Here is a 21,793-nt window from a genome sequence, read left to right as displayed (position 1 = left end):
TCTAACATTACAGCGCTTTGTGTCTGCATTGGTGTTTCTTTATACAGCAAGAGTTCAGAATAAAGATGATAATAGCAGATTTTGAGTCTCCGCACTGATGTTTAAGATCAGGATTTTCCGAGTTGGGTTCCAGCTGTGGGACTTGTTTGGTGTTCCAGTCGGCTCTGACAGGGCCTCTTTGACACACTAGCCAGTACCTTTGGTCCTGGAGAATTTTGCTCATATCTCGTAAAATTCTTTTGTTCTCATCAAACCCATACATGTGTGACTTCGTTTGGGGATAGACAAGCTGAGGTTTAACCAAATAAAAGGAAAATCTTCTTCGTTGCTTATTAATTTAGAGAGTTTCTTACACCGAAGCATCATCATTCACTCTGTATGTTTCATCCCCAGGACCTCTGGAAATGAATGACCATGAACCTGGGGAAACTCCTAGTAGTTTAGTGGGAGGAGCAGAGGTTCTTAGAAACTATGAAGTACCCCTTGTAGGGTCATGGAAAAGGTAAATCTGGGCCGGGTGCGGCGAGTCACCCCTGTAGTCCCAGAACTTTGGGAGGCTGAGGTGGGCGGATCACCTGAGGTCAGGATTTCGAGACCAGCCTAGCCAACATGGTGAAACCCCGTCTCTACTAAAAATACAAAAATTAGCCGGGCATGATAGCGGGTGCCTGTAATCCAGCTACTTGGGAGGCTGAGGCAGGAGAATCACTTGAACCCAAGAGGTGGAAGTTGCAGTGCCTGAGAATACGCCACTGCACTCCGGCCTGGGTGACAGAGCGAGAGTCCATCTCAAAAAAAAAAAAAAACAAGAAAAGTTAAATCTATTTGCACCGAATACTTGCTTTGATGGCTTCACATTCAAAATAAAGGCTGAACTTCAGACCACATGGAGAAAATGCTGAGAAAAGTATTGTCATTGTTGAAAGGATTGTTGTCCTAGACTCTGACTCCAGACTCCAACTCCTTCCACACTGAAATTTCCCAGATAAAGAACTTTGCTTATATTTTTTATTTTTTGAGACTGATCTCCTTCTGTCACCCAGGCTGGAATACAGTGATACAACCTCAGCTCACTGCAACCTCAGCCTCCCATATTCAATCAAGTCTCGTGCCTCGGCCTCTTGAGTAGCTGGGATTACAGGCACGTGCTGCCACATCCAGCTAATTTTTGTATTTTTAGTAGAGACGGGGTTTCACCATGTTGGCCTAGGCTGATCTTGAACTCCTGGTCTCAAGCAAGCCACCCACCTCAGCCTCCCAAATTGCTGGGACTACAGGCGTGAGCCACTGTGCCTGGCCCCTGGTTATAGTTTTTAATAAAGAAAGATCCTCAGAATGAAAAATAGAGTTATAATAAACTTATCTAAAATAATCTACCTTTGGGTTCCTTTTTGCCTTGGGGCCTCTTGTCTTAGGTCAAGAACCTGAGAGTCCCCAGGCTCTGTCCGGGGTCCTCAGAGGGACCATACCTGTTCACACTGTTGGACTCTGCACACAGTTGTGTTAAGCAGTGAATTCTGTGGCTTTAAGAAGTCTTTGAAAATCACTAACCTGGTGACGGCCTGTGCCACTGTCATCATCGAAATCAGAGTGTGTCTCCTGTGAGCTTTATTGTACATACAGCGTACAGGGCCAGGCTTGAGAAAGACAGATCTGCTATACTCATCTCCCCTGCAGAGGACACCATGGAATCCGCATTCTCCAAGGCCACATGTTCTGCCCAGTGCCTCCTGTCACCATGACTGTAACCATCTTTCCTCTTTTTACCTGTTTGTTTGAATGTAGATTTCATTTGTGTTGTATATGTTCTTATGCAGGAAATATTACCTCCTGGTTCTCACACAGGCTTTTCTGGATTACATTTGCCATTCATTGGTTTTACATTCACAACGGAAAGGTATGTCTGGATTTATCATTCCCCAGGGAGACACTTCCCCTGTGGTAGATGAACAGTCAGACACCACAGTCTGTCCCTGGGGGCGGGCTAGTGGGTGGTGTGTGCGCTGGGAGGCCATTACTTAAGGGAGATGGAGATGGGTTTTTGGTCTTAAAATATGCACACCTGATGACTACAGGTGATACCATAGCAAGGTTGCAGGCTTTTTCTCTACAGATATCCAGGTCGTAAAGAATTCAGGTTTCATGGCCTTTGTTGTATGTTCTTCTTTTTACAACCCTTTAAAAATGTTAAAACCATTCATGCTCGTGATGGTGCAGAAACAGGCCTCGGGCAGGATTTCTCCCAGAGGCCAGGGGGGTGAGATTTCTCCCAGAGGCCGTAGTTTGCCAACCCCTGACCAATAGGCCGCCAGCATTGGCAGGGTTAGCTCTGATCCAGTCGGTGGCCACAGCAAGCAGAGCAGTTGCCATGCGCACTCAGCTGAGAGCTGGCTTCCATCAGAGCACTCTGCTGGCTTTTGTAAGGATTGTGTGTTGTGGGCCCCTGTCCCAAATGGGCCTCTTTGCAAAGTTGTGTCGCCTGAGATGGTCCACCTCGATTTTAAAAGGAAACTGGGGCCAAGAGGAGAGGGGTTAGGAAGAAAGAGAGGTGAAATGAGACAATGGAAGCTCCCACTGTGCCACAGAATCTGATTCCTGGCGTCCTCTGGCAGCTGGAACCACAGTTGAAAATGTCTTGGGAGGGAGATATCCCCATGCTTCTTTTTTTTTTTTTTTTTTTTTTGGAGACGGAGTCTCGCTCTGTCGCCCAGGCTGGAGTGCAGAGGCACGATCTCAGCTTACTGCAACTTCTGCCTCCCGGGTTCAAGCGATTCCCCTGCCGCAGCCTCCTGAGTAGCTGGGACTACAGGCGCCCGCCACCACGCCCGACTAATTTTTTTTATTTTAGTAGAGAGAGGGTTTCACCATATTGGCCAGATGGTCTCGATCTCCTGACCTCGTGATCTCCCCGCCTCGGCCTCCCAAAGTGTCAGGATTACAGGCGTGAGCCACCGCGCCCGGCTGATATCCCCATACTTCTGCTCGAGCTTGGAAGAAATCTCTTTTGGTGTGAGAGGCCAGGGTTAAACAGCCCATAAGCCAAAGTGGCAGCTGCTGTCTTCCAGCCCACAGGAGGCTTTCTGGGTGGGCATATTGATTTACCAGCCCCCAGTGCAGAGGTTCTTGATCTTTCTAATACATGCCAGCTCACCAAATGCTTGTCACACTTGCAGGTCCCAAGCCCATGGCTGTAGTTTGGCCAGATAGGCCTAGAGCTCTCCTCTTGACAGATCCCGCAGGGCTGGAGCAGCCCAGCACCCTCAGACCACCTGTGGAGAAACACTGACCAGGTCTTCTCTAAAGGGGGCTGGGTGCCTTTATGGAACTCTGCGTAGGAGCTCAAAATTTCCCTGACTTCATTGTCACATAAAGAGCTAAGCAGAACTAAGTAACTCCTAAAGCAGCCCAAGAATTAAGCTATTAAATGAGAGCCATCCTGGGCTTCAGCCTGTGCCTCGGCTGTGTGCGTCATCGAGTGGTCTGGTCCTTGGTAAGGGGCTTAGTGTGCTGGTCAGTGCTAGAATTGGTGGCTTAGCCTGCAGGGGAAGAAGAGTTGAAAGAGCTGTCCTGGATTGCTTGGCCAGTTGGTGGCCAAACCAGGAAGCTTTCAGTGGTCCATGCGTACCGCTGACCTGCAGACGAGCTGGGGCTGCCCCCTAAGCCTTGCTTTACGCAGGATCCATGCCTTCTGGTTTTGCATTTATAGTTAAGTGTGGGGGATGATTTAGAAATGCCATTTCCCCTCCTTTGCAGAGGCGCTTTCTTTGACCAGCGATGGGGAGGGCCCTTGTCAGTGTCTCCTTGACCATCTGGTCACTTGTCTAACTTTGGTTCCATAAACCATAAAGTCTTATCTCAGGTGTTTTTGTTTGCTGATTTAAAAAGACTATCTTTCACCTCAGGAAGATTGAAAATGCTAATGAAATCGCTAAATTTTCAGTAGATCAAAAAAACCTGTTGCTTGGTTTCCCAGCTGTTTTTCTGATCGAGGCTCTCTGAAGAGCATAATGCAGTCCAACACATTAACCAAAGATGAGGATGTGCAGCGGGACCTGGAGCACAGCCTGCAGATGGAAGCTTACGAGAGGAGGATTCGGAGGCTGGAACAGGAGAAGCTGGAGCTGAGCAGGAAGCTGCAAGGTGAGGGCAGCGCCGGCTCCGGGGCCAGGCGGGGGCGCTGCGGCCAGGCTGCACCTCACGCTGTCTCTCCATCCCTCAGAGTCCACCCAGACCGTGCAGTCCCTCCACGGCTCATCTCGGGCCCTCAGCAATTCAAACCGAGATAAAGAAATCAAAAAGCTAAATGAAGAAATCGAACGCTTGAAGAATAAAATAGCAGGTATGTGTTTAAAAGTGTGACTTCTTAGTCTCTATTTTTGGTCATTACTGTCTTAAAAGGGAATTTCAGAGTCCTTTTCATAAAGTGGGAAAGCAGAAAAAAAGCTTAGGCTTTAGCAAGCTTATTTAGAGTTCTCAAATTTTGGTCAGTTGTTTTTTTTTAGACGGAGTTTCACTTTTGTCACCCAGGCTGGAGTGCAGTGGTGCGATCTCAGCTCACTGAAACCTCCACCTCCTGGGTTCAAGCGATTCTCTTGCCTCAGCCTCCCAAGTAGCTGGGATTACAGGCATGTGCCACCACACCCGGCTAATTTTGTATTTTTAGTAGAGACAGGGTTTCACCATGTTGGCCAGGCTGGTCTCGAACTCCTGACCTCAGGTGATCTGCCTGCCTTGGCTTCCCAAAGTGCTGGAATTACAAGCATGAGCCACTGCGCCCAGCCCCAATTGGCTTAGTTCTAATGATATTATTTTATAGTCACCAGCTAGAATCAGTTCCTGATATTTTATCTGTACGTTCTCTGGCTATTTTCTGCTTCTCTGTTACAGTTTTCCTTTTTGTGGCTTTCAGACAGTTCCTAGAGCTGCTTTCCTCCTAAAGCTTAATCAGTGACTCTGCCTGCTCCTTGGTGTTGTAGGTGCTAGACCTGCTGTCACCACTTTCTTTTGGCGGTTCCTAGGTTATCAAAGTTCCCTAAAAGCTCCAATCAGTTTTTGTTTTTTTGTTTTTTTGTTTTTTGAGACGGAGTCTCACTCTGTCACCCAGGCTGGAGTGCAGTGGCATGATCTCGGCTCACTGCAAGCTCCGCCTCCTGGGTTCACGCCATTCTCCTGTCTCAGCCTCCCAAGTAGCCCCCCACCACGCCTGGCTAATTTTTTGTATTTTTACAAAATAGAGACAGGATTTCACTGTGTTAGCCAGGATGGTCTCGATCTCCTGACCTCGTGATCCGCCTGCCTTGGCCTCCCGAAGTGCTGGGATTACAGGCGTGAGCCGCTGCGCCTGGCCTGGCTCCAATCACTTTTAAGCCTTAACCTCACACAGGTTGGCTCTGCAGTTGACCTTCACCTCCAAAGCACACTTTGAATCTCACCTTCTCTGCATTTCCTATCAGGAACCCCACTGTCCTGATCCAAAAACAGACTTCTTTGATTGAGTCACTTACTAACTAAAACTTTTCTTGCACGCTGAGAAAGGACAAGGGCCAGGCACTGTGCTGGGTGACACAGGTTAGAGGGACTGAGCAGACGAGTGTGTGCGCCACCCAAGGGCTCCCAGTGCTCAGGGGAGATCGCTGTCAGATCAGAGTAAAGTCTAGGGAGCCTGTTCAGCACAGGCATGCAGGTAGCTGTGCCTATGACACTGTGTGTGTGTGTGTGTGTGTGTGTGTGTGTGTGTGTGTAAGTAAAAAAACCTCTGAATGAAAAAGTGTTGTGAATTATTAAATAATTTCCTGTCAGTAAGTCAGCTAACATAAAGTTTACATATAGTCATTGCACATAAAGGAACAGAGTTTATTTCCTCTTTTGTCCAGATTCAAACAGGCTCGAGCGACAGCTTGAGGACACAGTGGCGCTTCGCCAAGAGCGTGAGGACTCCACGCAGCGGCTGCGGGGGCTGGAGAAGCAGCACCGCGTGGTCCGGCAGGAGAAGGAGGAGCTGCACAAGGTAGGTGGCTCAGTTTGGGGTGAGAAAGGCTTACGGGACTTTGCAGAATTCTGTAAGGTCACGTTCATGCCGATGATGGAAGACCTCTTGGGACTCCTGCCCATGGGCTGTCCCTGCTGCATGCAGGACGCCAGGGCCAAGCCTGGCCCCGGGGCCCCTGCCACGCCTGCCTGCTGCACAGCCCCCGCGTCGGCTGGCAGAGCTTGGCTCCCAGTGGCAGGTGCCTTCCACCCCCTTGCCCCCAGCGGTTATCCACCTCGCAATCAGCCTCTCCAGTCTCCACTTCAGACCCACAGAGAAAGCAGCACCCCACTGCATTCTAAAGCGAGGAAAGATGTCGATAGGGCATGGTGGCCGTGCACAGGGCATGGTGGCCGTCCACAGGGCATGGTGGCTGTGCATAGGGCATGGTGGCTGTGGCAACACACGCTGCGTCCCGAGCCAGGCCCTCCCCTTCTCTCCACCAGGCCTCTGCTCTTAGAAGGGGACCCTTAGTAATGACAGGGAACTGCAGCAGAGACCCTGTGTTAAAATCTGGGTGATTTCCCCCCATAATTCGTTTATAAATTTCATTTTTAGTAATATATGGGAAACTTTTATGCTCAGGTGTCAGCATGTTACTAACACAATTATATGCGTGTTTTCTAAAATACATTCATTGATACATGTTATTCTTGAACCTGTAGTTTGTGATCTGTTCTCTAAAATGTGCCAGGTATCAAACCCAGATTGTTTCTTAAGATAATCTGTGGGTCATCCACGTGAGTGATTTGTCTAGAAGTGCAGTGTGGGGCACATGGCATCTCATTGCTTGACAGGGTCATAGTACCTCCCAGCGGGCCCAGAGAGGCCTGGGGAGGCCTCCCCTTCACGTGTGGGAGCTGCCCTGCCAGCTTGCTCAGGGTCTTGTCACTTCCATCTCAGACCAGCAGGTGTGACAGTGACTGAACTGCCAGATAGTTGACCAGATTGGCTGCAGGGAGGTCAGGGTCATCAGCGTGGTGAGTGCAGAGTGACAGCCAGTATCCGCACATCAGTCTGCATTGAAGGGCAGGCTGTCCAGCGATTGTTTTTATACAGTTCTTCACTGTGACTTCACCTTCAGCACTTTGTGTCATATGTGTTCTTTTTGATTTTGCTTATGTTTAAGTAACTAGATTGAGTGCCCAAATGCTTCATTCAGCTTTGCGGCTGTGCAGGTGACACTGGGCAGAGGCTGACATTACGGAGCGTCCTCCTGTAAGCACGCTGCCCCCATGTGGTTGTGGGGCTTTTTTTTTTTTTTTTTTTTTTTTTTTTTTTTTTTTTTTTTTTTTTTTTTTTTTTTGAGGCAGAGTCTTGCTCTGTCGCCCAGCCTGGAGTGCAGTGGCACAATCTCGGCTCACTGCAACCTCTGCCTCCCAGGTTCACACCGTTCTCCTGCCTCAGCTTCCCAAGTAGCTGGGACTACAGGCACCCACCACCACGCCCAGCTAATTTTTTTGTATTTTTAATAGAGACGGGGTTTCACTGTGTTAGCCAGGATGGTCTCGATCTCCTGACCTCAGGTGACCCGCCCACCTTGGCCTCCAAAAGTGCTGGGGTTACAGGTGTGAGCCACTGTGCCCGGCCTGTGGGGCCTTTCTTGGTGTGCAGTTGGTCTCAGCACCTGAGCCCAGGCGGCCTTCCCATTGCCTGTGTGGCTGGCACGAGACAGAGCACAGGTCTTTTTCCAAGCAGCTCAGATCTGTGGCTCTAATCTGTAACCAGCATTGGCTGTCGCTTTTAACTCCTCAATATCATGGAAGACCGAACCTCCAGCCTTCCAAGCCTTTGTTAGGCAAACGTAAAACATCTATAATTGTTTTTGTTCAGCAACTGGTTGAAGCCTCAGAGCGGTTGAAATCCCAGGCCAAGGAACTCAAAGATGCCCATCAGCAGCGAAAGCTGGCCCTGCAGGAGTTCTCGGAGCTGAACGAGCGCATGGCAGAGCTCCGTGCCCAGAAGCAGAAGGTGTCCCGGCAGCTGCGAGACAAGGAGGAGGAGATGGAGGTGGCCACGCAGAAGGTGGACGCCATGCGGCAGGAAATGCGGAGAGCTGAGAAGCTCAGGAAAGAGGTAGCTGTGGAGATGGTTCAGGGATGGTATCGACTGGACATTTGTGTGACTTTTATAAAACGTCTTTGAAATCTTGGGCTGCATTACTGTAAAAGGGGTCAGAAATTTTCTGTGGAGCCAAGTAAGTTGATCGGCCGAGCATTTATTTTGTTGTTCTCATTCCTCAATATTGGTGAAATTACAATAAGGTTCTTGTGGTGCTGATTTTCTTTAATTCCCTTTTAAGTAAATAGAGGGTGTTTATGCTGTGCTGTGATGCAGCCTGGCTTATGTGAATAAGACACCTGCAGTCCACACAGGGCAGGTGGCAGTAGAAAGGCAAATCACGGGCCGGGCACGGGGCTCACGCCTGGAATCCCAACACTGTGGGAGGCGCCAAGATAGATGGATCGTTGAGTTTAGGAGTTTGAGACCAGCCTGAGCAACATGGCAAAACCCTTCAGCACACTTCAGGCCGCCGCTTAGGTGAGTGCTTCTGAAGTGTCTTGGCTCAGCACCATTCGACACTGTTGGAATGATTACAACCCCAAAGAGCTTTCTTATGTAGGCTACAGCTCTCAACATGCACCATGGCAGAAATTAAAACAAAATCTTGTTAATACAATGAAAACCCATTTCATGTTAACATAAGTAACATGTTTAATGAAAAGTAACTATTTCTTTAAAAATTTGGCAGGAAGAATGGCATTTTTTACATTTTGTTAGCTGTTCTTTAATATCTGGCTGAATGGAAAACAGTTGAGTTCTCATGGCTGTTTCTTCAATCCGTTTTGCTACACCGTTCTGGATAAAGTACATGAAGAAATCCTGGCCCCCACAGATAGCTAATTAGGAAAGGAAGGGCCTTGCACACCCCTGATGTCTCAGGACCCCAGGGTTTGCAGCCCTGTGCCGCCCTGGGTGTTCTGAGTGTTCTGCTGTGAATGGTTGACATATTGTAAGCGATGCTTAGTTTAGAACTCTATTAAAATTTCCTTGATAAATCCCATAAATGAGAAGGCCTGGAAGCACATGCTCCTGTTCCTTTCAAGTTCAGGGCTCTTTGTTCTTTAGCCCCAGAGGACCTGTTTGTTTTCTTCTTAGTCTATTTTGCAACCCAAATATATTTGTAGTTACAGGCAGTTAAAACTGAAGTTAGTGATACCCCTAATGAGGAATTAGCATTCCACATATGGGGGAAGTGATAACAGTGCCTGGGATTGCCCTCGAGTGGTTTGGGCACAGGCAGAGATGAAGCGGGCTTGGCTCGGGAGCTCACTGTTGAAGCTGGGTGCCGGCACGTGTGTTCGCTATTCTGCTCGTTCTTCGTGTGCGTGTTTGAAATGGCCCATTTAATAAATGAATTCAAGTTCTACAGATATCAAAAGTACTGGTTTTCACGAATCAGTGAAATTTAAATTTCAAGAAATGTATCCTTTCTTGAAATTTAAGTGTCAATTTAAGCTAGAATTGAACCTTGTTTTATTAGTAACCAACCATCCCAGTTGAACCCAGAAGTGTATTTCTCAAACTTTAATTTGTGATAAGATTTGATGAAGGGTGAACACGCGCAGAGCTCCTTCGAGGTCTTGTTCTTGTGGAGGTCCCGTGGGTGCTGCTGTAACTGGTGAAGCAGGGCTCGCTTTTTGTTAATAGAAACTGGATCTTCCTTTTGTAGCTGGAAGCTCAGCTTGATGATGCTGTTGCTGAGGCCTCCAAGGAGCGCAAGCTTCGTGAGCACAGCGAGAACTTCTGCAAGCAAATGGAAAGCGAGCTGGAGGCCCTCAAGGTAGTGCTGGGCGGGGGTCTCTGCCCTTAACTGAGAGGGATGCTTATCTTTGCTGACGCCACCACATGGAAGTCACCTTGTGTAATGTGTGGTCCGGGCCGAGTGTCACCCGAGGCTGTTCAGACAAGACCCACATGTGGAGAGGTGGGGGGTGTGACCCCTGCCTTCGTGACTGCTTTCATTTTTAAAGGCCAAGTTCATGTTTTTCCTTTGTTATATAAAAGTTTCAGGCAATTCACAGTAAGTCCTAGGAAACGAATATCTAATTGGCTCATTTCCTACTCCAGCCCCATCAATTCATAGCCTTCTTCACATCGTGGTATTCTAAATTCGGTGCAGTTGAGTTTTGGAAAAGCTCCTTAAAGCCCGTAGCCTGCTGCTGACTGGGGAAGAGACAGGCTGGCCATCAGTCGGGGCCCACTGGTGGGGCTGGAGGGTAGCAGGGAGGCCGCGGAGGGCGGGAGTGGGGAAGGCCACAGTGGCCAAGTGGGCAAGGGGCCGGAGGCGGATCTCCTTGGCAGTATGGCGTGGCCTGGATCTCCTCATGTGTGAGCCGCGTGCGATGGGTCTGCCCTCTCCCTTCGCCTCAGTGATCTGGCAACTCTTCCTCTGGGACGTGGGCCTGAGATGCTGTTCCTCCCTGGCAGCGGGCTTGGCTGGACCTCGGCATGTGGTGCCCGAGGCTCCTGCCCCTTTCTCAGCCCTTGAGTCTCCTCTCTGCACAGCAGGCAGAGTGAGCTTGGCAGACCAAAGCCGGATCACATTCCTGTGCGGCAGGGCCTCCGTGGCTCCGCAGCTGTCCAGCAGCTACCCTCCTGCCTGCTCCAGCCCAGCAGTGCCTCTCCTGCCCCTCCTTGCCCCGCCACACCAGACACACTGGCCTCTCTGCATGCTGCAAACACTGCCAACACGTCCCACCTCACTCCAGCCTGTGCCCTTGTTCTTTGCCCCTAGCCTGACACCTCACTTAATAGGCCAGCACCTTACAGAAGCCGCCCCAGCCATCCTGGCACGCCCTCCACTCCCTACAACCTGGCTGGGGTGCACGGCCCCTCTGCCCCTTTACTGGTTTGCTGTCAGTTCCCGCCAGCCCCAAGAGAGCAGAGACCTCAGTGTCACCCCAGTCACAAGGAGGGGGCCCAGCACAGAGTCAGCCCTCAGAAGAATGCTGCAAGCATGAATGAACAGGGTGTGGGGCAGAGCTTCGGGGGTCCCAGGCAGACCTGGGCACATCCCCCTGCAAGGCCGTCTCCTGCTGTGACCCCCTAGAACCTGGATCACGTTAGCCAGGTCAGCTACGTCATCTGGTGTAGACCAGGCACACACAGTCCTTGGGAAGGTGTCTGCACTTGCTTGGGATGAAAGGGGTTGAAAGGACAGTGTGACCCTTGAGGACACAGAGGTTTGTCAATTTATGTTAACCTTTGTCTTCAGGTGAAGCAAGGAGGCCGGGGAGCGGGTGCCACCTTAGAGCACCAGCAAGAGATTTCCAAAATCAAATCCGAGCTGGAGAAGAAAGTCTTATTTTATGAAGAGGAATTGGTCAGACGTGAGGCCTCCCATGTGCTAGAAGTGAAAAATGTGAAGAAGGAGGTGCATGATTCAGAAAGCCACCAGCTGGCCCTGCAGAAAGAAATCTTGATGTTAAAAGATAAGTTAGAAAAGTCAAAGCGAGAACGGTAGGTTTTCATGAGCTTCTCAGTTCAGAAGATGCAAGCTGATACCCACGCCATAGATACGAATATCAGTGAAGTTACGAGCTTTTAAAACTGTTTCTCGCTCACCTTGGCAGGCATAACGAGATGGAGGAGGCAGTAGGTACAATAAAAGATAAATACGAACGAGAAAGAGCGATGCTGTTTGATGAAAACAAGAAGCTAACTGCTGAAAATGAAAAGGTAATTAATTCAAAGTACCTGAGTTAGCACTTTGTGTGGAAGTTGTAATTTAAAAAAAAATTATTTTTAATTTGTGTGGGTACATAGTAGGTATATATATTTATGGGGGAGTAGAATGTCGTCATTCTTGAGTCTTGGAAGTTTGGTTTTTTTTTTTTGAGATGGAGTCTCGCTCTGTCGCTCAGGCTGGAGTGCAGTGACGCGATCTTGGCTCACTGCAACCTCTGCCTCCCAGGTTCATGCCATTCTCCCACCTCAGCCTCCCAAGTGGCTGGGACTACAGGCGTCTGCCACCACGCCTGGCTAAGTTTTTGTATTTTTAGTAGAGACGGGTTTTCACCGTGTTAGCCAGGATGGTCTCAATCTCCTGACCTCATGATCCACCCACCTCAGCCTCCCAAAGTGCTGGGATTACAGGCATGAGCCACTGCGCCGGCCGAAGTTTGGTGTCTTTTTACAGTGCAGTAATGTGCCATATAACGATGCTTCCATCAATGATAGACTGTGTGTACAACAGGCGTCCCGTACGATCATAATACTGTACTTTACTCTACCTCTTCTGTGTTGAGATACACAGATACTTAGCATTGTGCTACAGCCGCCGGCAGCGTCCCGCACAGCAACATGGTATGCAGGCTTGGGGCCTGGAATTGACAGGCTGTACCACAGGGCCTGGTGTGCGGCAGCCGCACCGTCTAGGCTTGCGTGAGTGCATTCACGCTGTGTGTGCAAGGACACGTTTCTCAGACCGTGTTCTTGCTGTTTCACTACACGTGACTGTTTTAATTTTTGAATGGAGTCATGTGTTTGGTCTTTTAAATAGGATGTTTGTATTCAGCGAAAAGATGCCAATTGCCTGAAGTCACTAGCTCCAGCTCCATCAGTTTAGGTTTAGATTTGAATTGAAATGTGACTTAAGCTAGATACAGTGAAAAAAATCCATATCATGAACTTAGTTTGGAAAAATCTCATGACGATTAAAGAAAACTTTCAGAGTCTTCAAAAGAACTTCCAGTGTTAAATCCAGCATACTTAAAGGATGCCCGATTAACAAGTTCTGTGGTGAAATTGTTTCATTTCAGCTCTGTTCCTTTGTGGATAAACTCACAGCTCAAAATAGACAGCTGGAGGATGAGCTGCAGGATCTGGCAGCCAAGAAGGAGTCAGTGGCCCACTGGGAAGCTCAGATTGCGGAAATCATTCAGTGGTACGTGCGCGGCCCCATTAGCGGCCGTGAATCCGCTCCCTGCTCAGTCCATGGGGTCTGCCCCGCCTCTTCTGCCTGATCCTGTGCTCCACGCCAGGCCGTGCCTCTCAGGCTGGGGTGCAGGTCTCACTGCTGTTCCCCAGAACTTCTCATGTCTGGGGCAGTGGTTCTGTTGGAATAGAGGTGGAGATACGCCCCCACCAACCCACTGAAGGACTTGGGGCAAACCGTTCACACCCCTTGCGTTCTCAGAGACAGGGGAGGCAGAGCCCTCCCAAAGCGGCTGCAGAAGCAGCAGGGAGACTTGGAGCGAGCTGGGACCTGGCCCTCCGCTCCTAAGGTGTGAAGTTGTAATTAAAAAAAGAGTTTTTATTTTTAATTTTTGTGGGTGCGTAGTAGGTATATATATTTATGGAGTAATAGAATTTTTTCATTCTTGAGTCTTGGAAGTTTGGTGTCTTTTTAAACTGCAGTCATGTGCAATGTAACGACGCATCCATCAATGAGATCCCGTGTATACAACGGGTACACTGCGGGCACTCTAGCTGACGTGACACTGTGTCACTGTGTGCCGAGGAAGGCGGGAACGTCCCCTTCTTGTTTGGCTTCTCCCTGATAGCCATGCTTCGTGAGATAGAACATCTGTTCCCTCCTCCAGGGTCAGTGACGAGAAAGATGCCCGGGGTTACCTTCAAGCTCTTGCTTCCAAGATGACCGAAGAGCTCGAGGCTTTGAGGAGTTCTAGTCTGGGGTCAAGAACACTGGTAGGTTTTGTGTAATGCCTGCATTTCTATTACTGAATAATTCGCTAATGGTTTTAAGTATAAATGTGACATATAAGTACTATTTAGGGAATTACAGTGATGCAAGAGACTTCTGTGTAACCAGTTCCCCAATTTAAGGAACGCCAACATTTGCCAGCTCTCAGATCATCATGGCTTCTCTCGACAGCATTCATTCGTTTAGCAAATAATTACTGAGCACTGAGCTCCGTGGTGTCAAGTTAAGACTGGATTCTGCCCTCAGAGAGCTTGCTTTTATTAATTTCATTGGTTCATTTAGTGATGTGTGTATTTTATTTTTTTCCTCCCGCGACAGTCTCACTCTGTTGCCCAGGCTAGAGTGCAGTGGCGTGATCTCGGCTTACTGCAACCTCCGCCTCCCGGCTTCAAGTGATTCTCCTGCCTCAGCCCCCCCGAGTAGCTGGGATTACAGGCGTGTGCCGCTACACCTGGCTCATTTTTGTATTTTAGTAGAGACGGGTTTCCACCATGTTGGCCAGGCTGGTCTCAAACCCCTGACCTCAGGTGATCTGCCCGCTTCGGCCTCCCAAAGTGCTGGGATTACAGGCATGAGCCCCCACACCTGGCCTTCCTCTGTCCATTTTCTTCTCTTTACTGTTATAGATGGAAAATGAAGCATTCTCAATTGTGTTCAATGAAAGGTTTTCAGTTTGTTTTAAAAAAGAAAAAACAGCAAGATGGCATCTCTGGACTTCTTTGATACCTCTCGAAAGTTGATGTCATACATTGGGCAACTCAGTAAGAAAACAGGAGGATGATGTTAGTGAACTGGCTTATTCCACTGTTGCTTCATCCTAGGTCACTCTGTCATTCTTCCCTTATTATTTTAGTCTTTTTTTTTTTTTTTTTTTTTTAATCACAGGTAGGAATGAGTAATGACATAATTCCCAGGATGGTGAAATAGCAAAACGTTTCAAGTTATGAGAAAAAGATAACCGAACCCTATAATGTACCTTAGGTTTGTAAAAGGGTCCAGGGTCCAGTGGACCCATATAGAAATTGCATTACAGAGGCCAGGCGCAGCGGCTCATGCCTGTAATCCCAGCACTTTGGGAGGCCAAGGGGGGTGGATCACGAGAGCAGGAGTTGGAGACTAGCCTGGCCAACGTGGTGAAACCCTGTCTCTACTAAAAATACAAAAATTAGCCAGGCATGGTGGTGCGGCACCTGTAATCCCAGCTACTGGCTACTGGAGAGGCTGAGACAGGAAAATCGCTTGAACCCAAGAGGCGGAGGTCGCGGTAAGCTGAGATCACGCCATTGCACTCCAGCCTAGGCAACAAGAGCGAAACTACATCTCAAACAAAAAAAAAAAGAAAAGAAAAGAAAAGAAATTGCACTACAGAATCACTTTTATTCTTCTAAAAGATAAAGTAAATTATTTAGTTATTTTTTAGAAGATTTCTGAGGAAGAGTAAAAAAAGTCATAAAATATCAAAACTAAAACTCCTGAGGCACCTCCATAATTTAGAGTTAATATCTAAATGAGACCGTAATGGCTTAAGGTTAGACAAAGATAACTTATTTGTTAACATTAGTTTAACAAGCGGATAACTGAAAATGCATTTTTAACGCCATGACCGTGTCTCAAGGACCCGCTGTGGAAGGTGCGCCGCAGCCAGAAGCTGGACATGTCCGCGCGGCTGGAGCTGCAGTCGGCCCTGGAGGCGGAGATCCGGGCCAAGCAGCTTGTCCAGGAGGAGCTCAGGAAGGTCAAGGACGCCAACCTCACCTTGGAAAGGTACTTGGTGCCAGGGTCTGACTCCAGGTAGGAGCAGTGGCTGTGTGGCCTCGAGCCCGCCCTGAGCCTCACGGGCTCCGATGCTCCTCGCCTGGAAAATCGGGGCCACGGCGTTTGCTGGAGCCTTAGGAGGCAGCACGTCGGGTTCACCTGCAGGAGCCCCGAATAGCAGGCCGTTCTGGCACTGAGGTGGCCGCGAGGGTGCAGGGCCTTGCCTGCCGCGGGGGGGTGTGGTGCGGTGCGAGCCGTGTTTTGACGGCAGCGGGTGCTTGTGCCCCCACGCTGGGTAGCGAGACTCACACCGCTGTCTGACAGGAGCCCCTCTCACTGCTTAGTCACCTCCGTGCCGCTCCATTCACTAATTCAAGATTGTTCCTTTCAAGCTAACGTGAATATTTTAAAACAGAGGTTGAAGATGGCATTCTCACTTGAAATTTTTCCCTAACTCCAAGCAGTAACGAGAACGCCATTTTCACACAGCAGTGATTCAGTCAGTATTTGCTGAGAGTCTCCTCTTTGCAGATCTGGTTTTACGAGGATACGATAATGAACGTCAGTTTCATAAAAACCAGGCCAGCTCTGCTGTGCCATGAGGCAGGCGAGGACCTGGAAGGGACAGTGTCTCTAACAGAATTACCAAGTCCCAAATCCTGTTAGTTTGGGGCTAAAAAATTAATGGTAATAGGTTTCAGTTAAATTGACTTTCTTTATACTGGGAATTGCTGTAAGACTGTTCTGTTGTTAAATCCTGTGACCCTCCCACAGCCCAACAGGGTAGGCAGTCTTGTTACTCCCACTTACACACACTCCGCAGGTGATTTGCCCACTGTCACCCCACTGATGAGTGGACCAGCCCCCACAAACTGCATCCCTCCCGGCCAGGTGTTCCCCGTGGCAGCCTGACTTCCTCTGTCCCCTGCACGAAGTTGCTGGAATTGCAAGGCTACCCGTGCGGGTGGTGCTGGTGCTTCTTGGTGCAGCCACCATCTTGCCAGTTATGGGAAAGATATTGATGGGGCTGACGGCTGAGCGGCCTGGGCCCTGTGTCCCTGAAGAACAGAGGACTCGCCTGGGAACAAGATTAGGAAGGTCAAGAGCTCCATTAGGCCTTCATGAGACACGCCTTCCTAAGCCATGACTTTTTAAATTCCTGTTTGAATGTTTATATTTGAAATATTCGTACTGTTCATGGTGTTTGCAGTAGAAAGGCCCAGCATGAGCTACCGTGTTCTGGACAGTCCTGAGTGCTGGGGAGAAATCCCGGCTCTCTCATCCTGACCTGCCCCATACCAGCTCACAGACAACCTCTTCTCAGTGCACTTAAAGCCATTTATTTTTTATTTTAGCAAACTAAAGGATTCCGAAGCCAAAAACAGAGAATTATTAGAAGAAATGGAAATTTTGAAGAAAAAGATGGAAGAAAAATTCAGAGCAGATACTGGTAAATTAATGTTGTGCGATTCTGCATTATTTGAATATAAGTATTTTTCAAATGAATGTTTTTATTTTCTTTTCGACTTAATAGTTACTTTAGAAGCACCTACAGAATTCCAAATTCAGTATTTTCCAAAATCAGCATTTTCAAACAACATCTTCAAATATATTTTCCCCAAAGGTAGCCATTGTTTTTGGTTTATCCTTCCTTTTTTTTTGAGACAGTCTCGCTGTGTCACCCAGGCTGGAGTGCAATGGCACAATCTCGGCTCACTGCAACCTCTGCATCCTGGGTTCAAGGATTCTCCCGCCTCAGCCTCGCAAGTAGCTGGGATTGCAGGTGCACACCACCACCACCCCTGGCTAATTTTTGTATTTTTAGTAGAGATGGGGTTTTGCCACGTTGGCCAGGCTGGTCTGCAACTCCTGACCTCAGGCAATCCACCCACCTCAGCCTCCCAAAGTGCTGGAATTACAGGTGTGAGCCACCGTGCCCAGCCTATCCTTCCTTTCATCTTGAAAGCATATGGCAAATCCACACAAATCTAGGCACACATTTGTATCCCCTGATAACACAAAAGGCATCATTTTGTGCTGGAGGGGCCACCCCGGCCTCCTCTGCAGCTGCACTGTGCGCTGCCGTGGGCTGGCCAGCCACTGGGATGGTTTATTCCCTGGCATTTGCTGTCACAGAAAGTGCTGCCAGGAGTGGCTGTATGGATAGAACATTTCCTGTTTTTGTCGGTGTATTTCGGGATAGAGTTCTAGAAGTGGGATTGCCAGGGCAAAGGGCAAACATGCCTGTACACTCTTGCTGCATGCTGACGGACAGGCCTCCAGAGGCTGTGCAGTGACGTTCCTCCCACTTTGCATGAGGGGTTTCTGCCCCACAGCCTACCCACAAAGTAGGATTTCAGACTTTTGGATTTTTGCCGCTCTGAATAGGTGAGAAATAGCATCTCCGTAGAGGTTTAACTTGCATATTTCTCATAAGTAAGATTGAGCATCTTTTTATATGTTTGAGGGACTTTTGTATTTTGTGCATTATATGTTTTTATTGTTTGCCCGCTTTTAAAAATTCAGGTTGTTAGTCTTGCGGATTTCTAAAAGCCTTTTGCATTTTGGGGATTAGTGCCTTTTGTTTGTGATGTAAGTTGCAAGTATTTTTCCTAGTTTGTCTTTGCTTATCATTTATTTATTTTTTTGCCAAATAAAAGTGGTTTTGCAGCCGGTGCGGTGGCTCACGCCTGTAATCCCAACACTTCGGGAGGCTGAGGTGGGCGGATCACCTGAGGTCTGGAGTTCGAGACCAGCCTGACCAACATGGAGAAACCCCATCTCTTGTAAAAATACAAAATTAGCTGGGCGTGGTGGTGCATGCCTGTAATCCCAGCTACTCAGGAGGCTGAGGCAGGAGTATTGTTTGAACTTGAACCTCAACCCGGGAGGCAGAGGTTGCGGTGAGCCGAGATTGCACCATTGCACTCCAGCTTGGGCAACAAGAGCAAAACGCTGTCTTAAAAAAAAGTGGGGGGGGTTTTGCCATCTCTACTAAAAATACAAAAATTAGCTGGGCGTGGTGGGGCATGCCTATAGTCCCAGCTACTCAGGAGGCTGAGGCAGGAGAATCGCTTGAACCTGGGAGGCAGAGGTTGCAGTGAGCTGAGATCTCGCCACTGCACTCCAGCCTGGGTGACAGAGCCAGATTCCGTCTGTCAAGAAAAAAAAAAAAAGGTGGTTTTCAAAATTTTTTGTGTGTCAAGTTTTCAGTCTTCTTCCTTTTTTGAGTCATAAATAGGAAAATACACCTAACTCCCAGTTGTTGGAGGGATTCCCTCATGCTTCTCATACTTGTGTGGCTTCATGATTGATTGATTGATTGATTGATTGATTGATTGATTGATTCAGGGTCTTGCTCTGTTGCCCAGGCTGGAGTGCAGTAGCACGATCAGGGTTCACTGCAGCCTCAACTTTCTGGGCTCAAGTGATCCTCCCACCTCAGCCCCCTGAGTAGCTGGGACTACAGGCACGTGCCACCACACCTGGCTATTTATTTATTTATTTATTTATTTTTAGAGATGGGGTTGTGCCGTATTTCCCAGGCTGGTCTTGAACTCCTGGACTCAAGCAATCTGACTGCCGTGTCTCCCAAAGTGCTAGGATTACAGGCGTGAGCCACCGTGCCCAGCCTCATTTTTTAAATTAGAATACTGATCCATTTGAAATTTGCTCTGACATACGGTTCGAGGAGTGTATCCAGTTTTATCTTTTGCTAATGGCTAGCTGGTTGTCCAATACCAGTTATTAAGCTATTTTTCCTGCTGGTTTTATGTATGACTGTTGTCATGTACAGGATCACCATGGGCTTGGGTCTGTTTCTGGATCTTCTCCCCTGTTCCATTGTTCATGGGGAAGAACCACTTGATTCTTGTTTTTTGATATGTGTTTTTTTGTGTGTGTGACAGGGTCTCACTCTGTCACCCAGGCAGGAATGCAGTGGCACGTGCAGCCTCAATCTCCCCAGCTCAAGTGATCCTCCTGTCTCTGTCTCCCAAGTAGCTAGGACCACAGGCACATGCCACCATGCACAGCTAATTTTATTTATTTAATTTTTATGGAGATGGGGTCTCTCTGTGTTGCCCAGGCTGGTCTCAAACTCATGGCCTCAAGCAGTCCTCCGACCTTGGCCTCCCAAAGTGCTGGGATGACAGGTGTGAACCACTGTGCCTGGCCATGATTCTTATTGTAGAGGCCTTAGTGAATCTGCTTTAATATCTGGTAGATCTGCTCCTCCTCCACCTACGCCCAGCCCAGCTGCCCCTGTGGTTTTGAGGGGTTTTGTTTTTTGTTTTTGTTTTTTTTTGAGATAGAGTCTTGCTCTGTCGCCCAGGCTGGAGTACAGTGGCATGATCTTGGCTTACCACAACCTCTGCCTCCTGGGCTCGAGATTCTCCTGCCTCAGCCTCCCGAGTAGCTGGGATTTCAGGCACATACCACCATGCACAGCTAATTTTTGTATTTTTAGCAGAGATGGGATTTCACCATGTTGGCCAGGCTGGTCTTTAACTCCTGACCTCAGGTGATCCGCCCACCTCGGCCTCCCAAAGTGTTGGGATTACAGGCGTGAGCCACCGCACCCAGTCCCTTGGTTACTTTTTCAAGTGAACTTTTTGATTCTTGTTACTCTCTGGGGAAAAGCCTGACCCCTTTTTTTTTTTTTTTTTTTTTTAATTGTGATCATGTCAGATGTATCAGTTACTCAAGGAGAATTGACATCTTGAAGACACTGAGTCTGTCTGAAAATAATATGTAGACTTTAGTTTTTTTGCCTTGACTATTCTTTGTTTCTTTTTGCAGGGCTCAAACTTCCAGATTTTCAGGATTCCATTTTTGAGTATTTCAACACTGCTCCTCTTGCACATGACCTGACATTTAGAGTAAGTCATTGTTTTTTTTTTAAGTGACAGATGAGTTTATGATAAGTTAGAAATAGTGTCATATATGATTTTACCACTCATGGGGCCACAAACACACCAGTAAATATACATTCAGTGTTTATCTCAGCGTTGTGCTAACTGTGTAATTGACCCACATGTAATCAACCCACATTAAACGCATCAGGTGACAGACATTTAGGGTATTTGAGGTGCTCCCAGAGAAGCTTTCTCAACTCAGATTAAGTAGAGATGAGATTAAGAAAGTGCTCAGCCTCTTCAGGGAGAAATCTGCACTGGCCTCAGCTGTGTAGTGAGTATTTTTTTTTTTTTTTTTGAGACGGAGTCTTGCTCTGTCACCCAGGCTGGAGTGCAGTGGCATGATCTTGGCTCACTGCAACTTCTGCCTCCCGGGTTCAAGTGATTCTCCTGCCTCAGCCTCCCAAGTAGCTGGGACTACAGGCACCCACCACCACGCCCGGCTAATTTTTGTATTTTTAGTAGAGACAGGGTTTCACCATATTGGCGAGGCTGGTCTCGAACTCCTGACCTCAGGTGATCCACCCACCTTGGCCTCCCAGAGTGCTGGGATTACAGGCGTGAGCCACCACGCCCAGCCTGTAGCGATTATTTCAAGAAAATAATACAAATTCTCACACTGGGATGGGTGCAGTGGCTCACGCCTGTAATCCCAGCACTTTGGGAGGCTGAAGTGGGAGGATCACTTGAGCCCAGGAGTTCAAGACGAGCCTGGGCAATATAGCGAGACCCTATCTCTTAAAAAAAAAAATCCCACACTAGAGCGAATAAAAATACTTTAGTTGTGTTTCCATCTGTGTAGCTGTAGAGTTCGGCATTGGGGATCGATGGGAAAGGTGGTTGATGGGAACAGTCTGGCACCAGGTGCCTTGCCGAGACCCTCACAAGGAGGCCAACCCCCTCAGGCAGTCGGAGCCGCTGGTCATCTACTTGGGAATTAGCTGTCGAGTGAGGAGCAGACCCCACTGCCTCCCTCCATGGGCCGCAGGTTCTTGGTGGCATTCCGTGGAGGCAGGACAGCCTTTCCTCCTCTTTGAAACCTGTAGGGATGCACCCTTGATAGCAGCACGCAAAGCATATTGGAGCAGGGAGAGTGGAGCTCACTAATGGAACTCCTGATGGGGTGCAGGGTGGGGAAGGTGGTTCCAGCCTTTGATTTAGAAAACTCCAGCCCTGCAGGCGAGTGGGAAGAATAGGGTGCATGTGTACATGTCCCTCACCTGGGGTTTTGCTACATCTGCTTTCTCTCTCTCAACATAAGAGACTTTCTTCCTCTGAAGTATTTGAAAGCGACTTGAAGGTATCAGCGACCCCAACATACTTCAGCAGTTATTTCCTACGATTGGGGCATTCTCTCACATAACC

At 48.4% G+C, this 21,793-nt stretch overlaps 1 protein-coding gene across 8 annotated transcripts in view; it reads left to right on the top strand.

The window, feature by feature from the left end:
• Positions 1-21,793, top strand: part of CDC42BPB (CDC42 binding protein kinase beta) — a 125,170-nt gene that overhangs the window by 77,527 nt on the left and 25,850 nt on the right. For all 8 annotated transcript variants that reach the window (NM_001411054.1, NM_006035.4, XM_005268228.2 and 5 more), the window contains exons 9-21: positions 1,818-1,897; positions 3,974-4,140; positions 4,220-4,339; positions 5,874-6,007; positions 7,862-8,104; positions 9,762-9,872; positions 11,307-11,551; positions 11,665-11,770; positions 12,853-12,977; positions 13,636-13,741; positions 15,373-15,521; positions 16,868-16,962; positions 20,313-20,392. In NM_001411054.1, coding sequence (NP_001397983.1) covers positions 1,818-1,897; positions 3,974-4,140; positions 4,220-4,339; positions 5,874-6,007; positions 7,862-8,104; positions 9,762-9,872; positions 11,307-11,551; positions 11,665-11,770; positions 12,853-12,977; positions 13,636-13,741; positions 15,373-15,521; positions 16,868-16,962; positions 20,313-20,392 — 1,761 coding nt within the window. The remainder of the gene's footprint in view (positions 1-1,817; positions 1,898-3,973; positions 4,141-4,219; positions 4,340-5,873; positions 6,008-7,861; positions 8,105-9,761; positions 9,873-11,306; positions 11,552-11,664; positions 11,771-12,852; positions 12,978-13,635; positions 13,742-15,372; positions 15,522-16,867; positions 16,963-20,312; positions 20,393-21,793) is intronic.

The sequence above is a fragment of the Homo sapiens genome, chromosome 14, assembly GCF_000001405.40.
Source record: "Homo sapiens chromosome 14, GRCh38.p14 Primary Assembly".
Lineage (NCBI taxonomy): Eukaryota > Metazoa > Chordata > Mammalia > Primates > Hominidae > Homo > Homo sapiens.
This window is presented reverse-complemented; position numbering and strand designations above follow the sequence as displayed.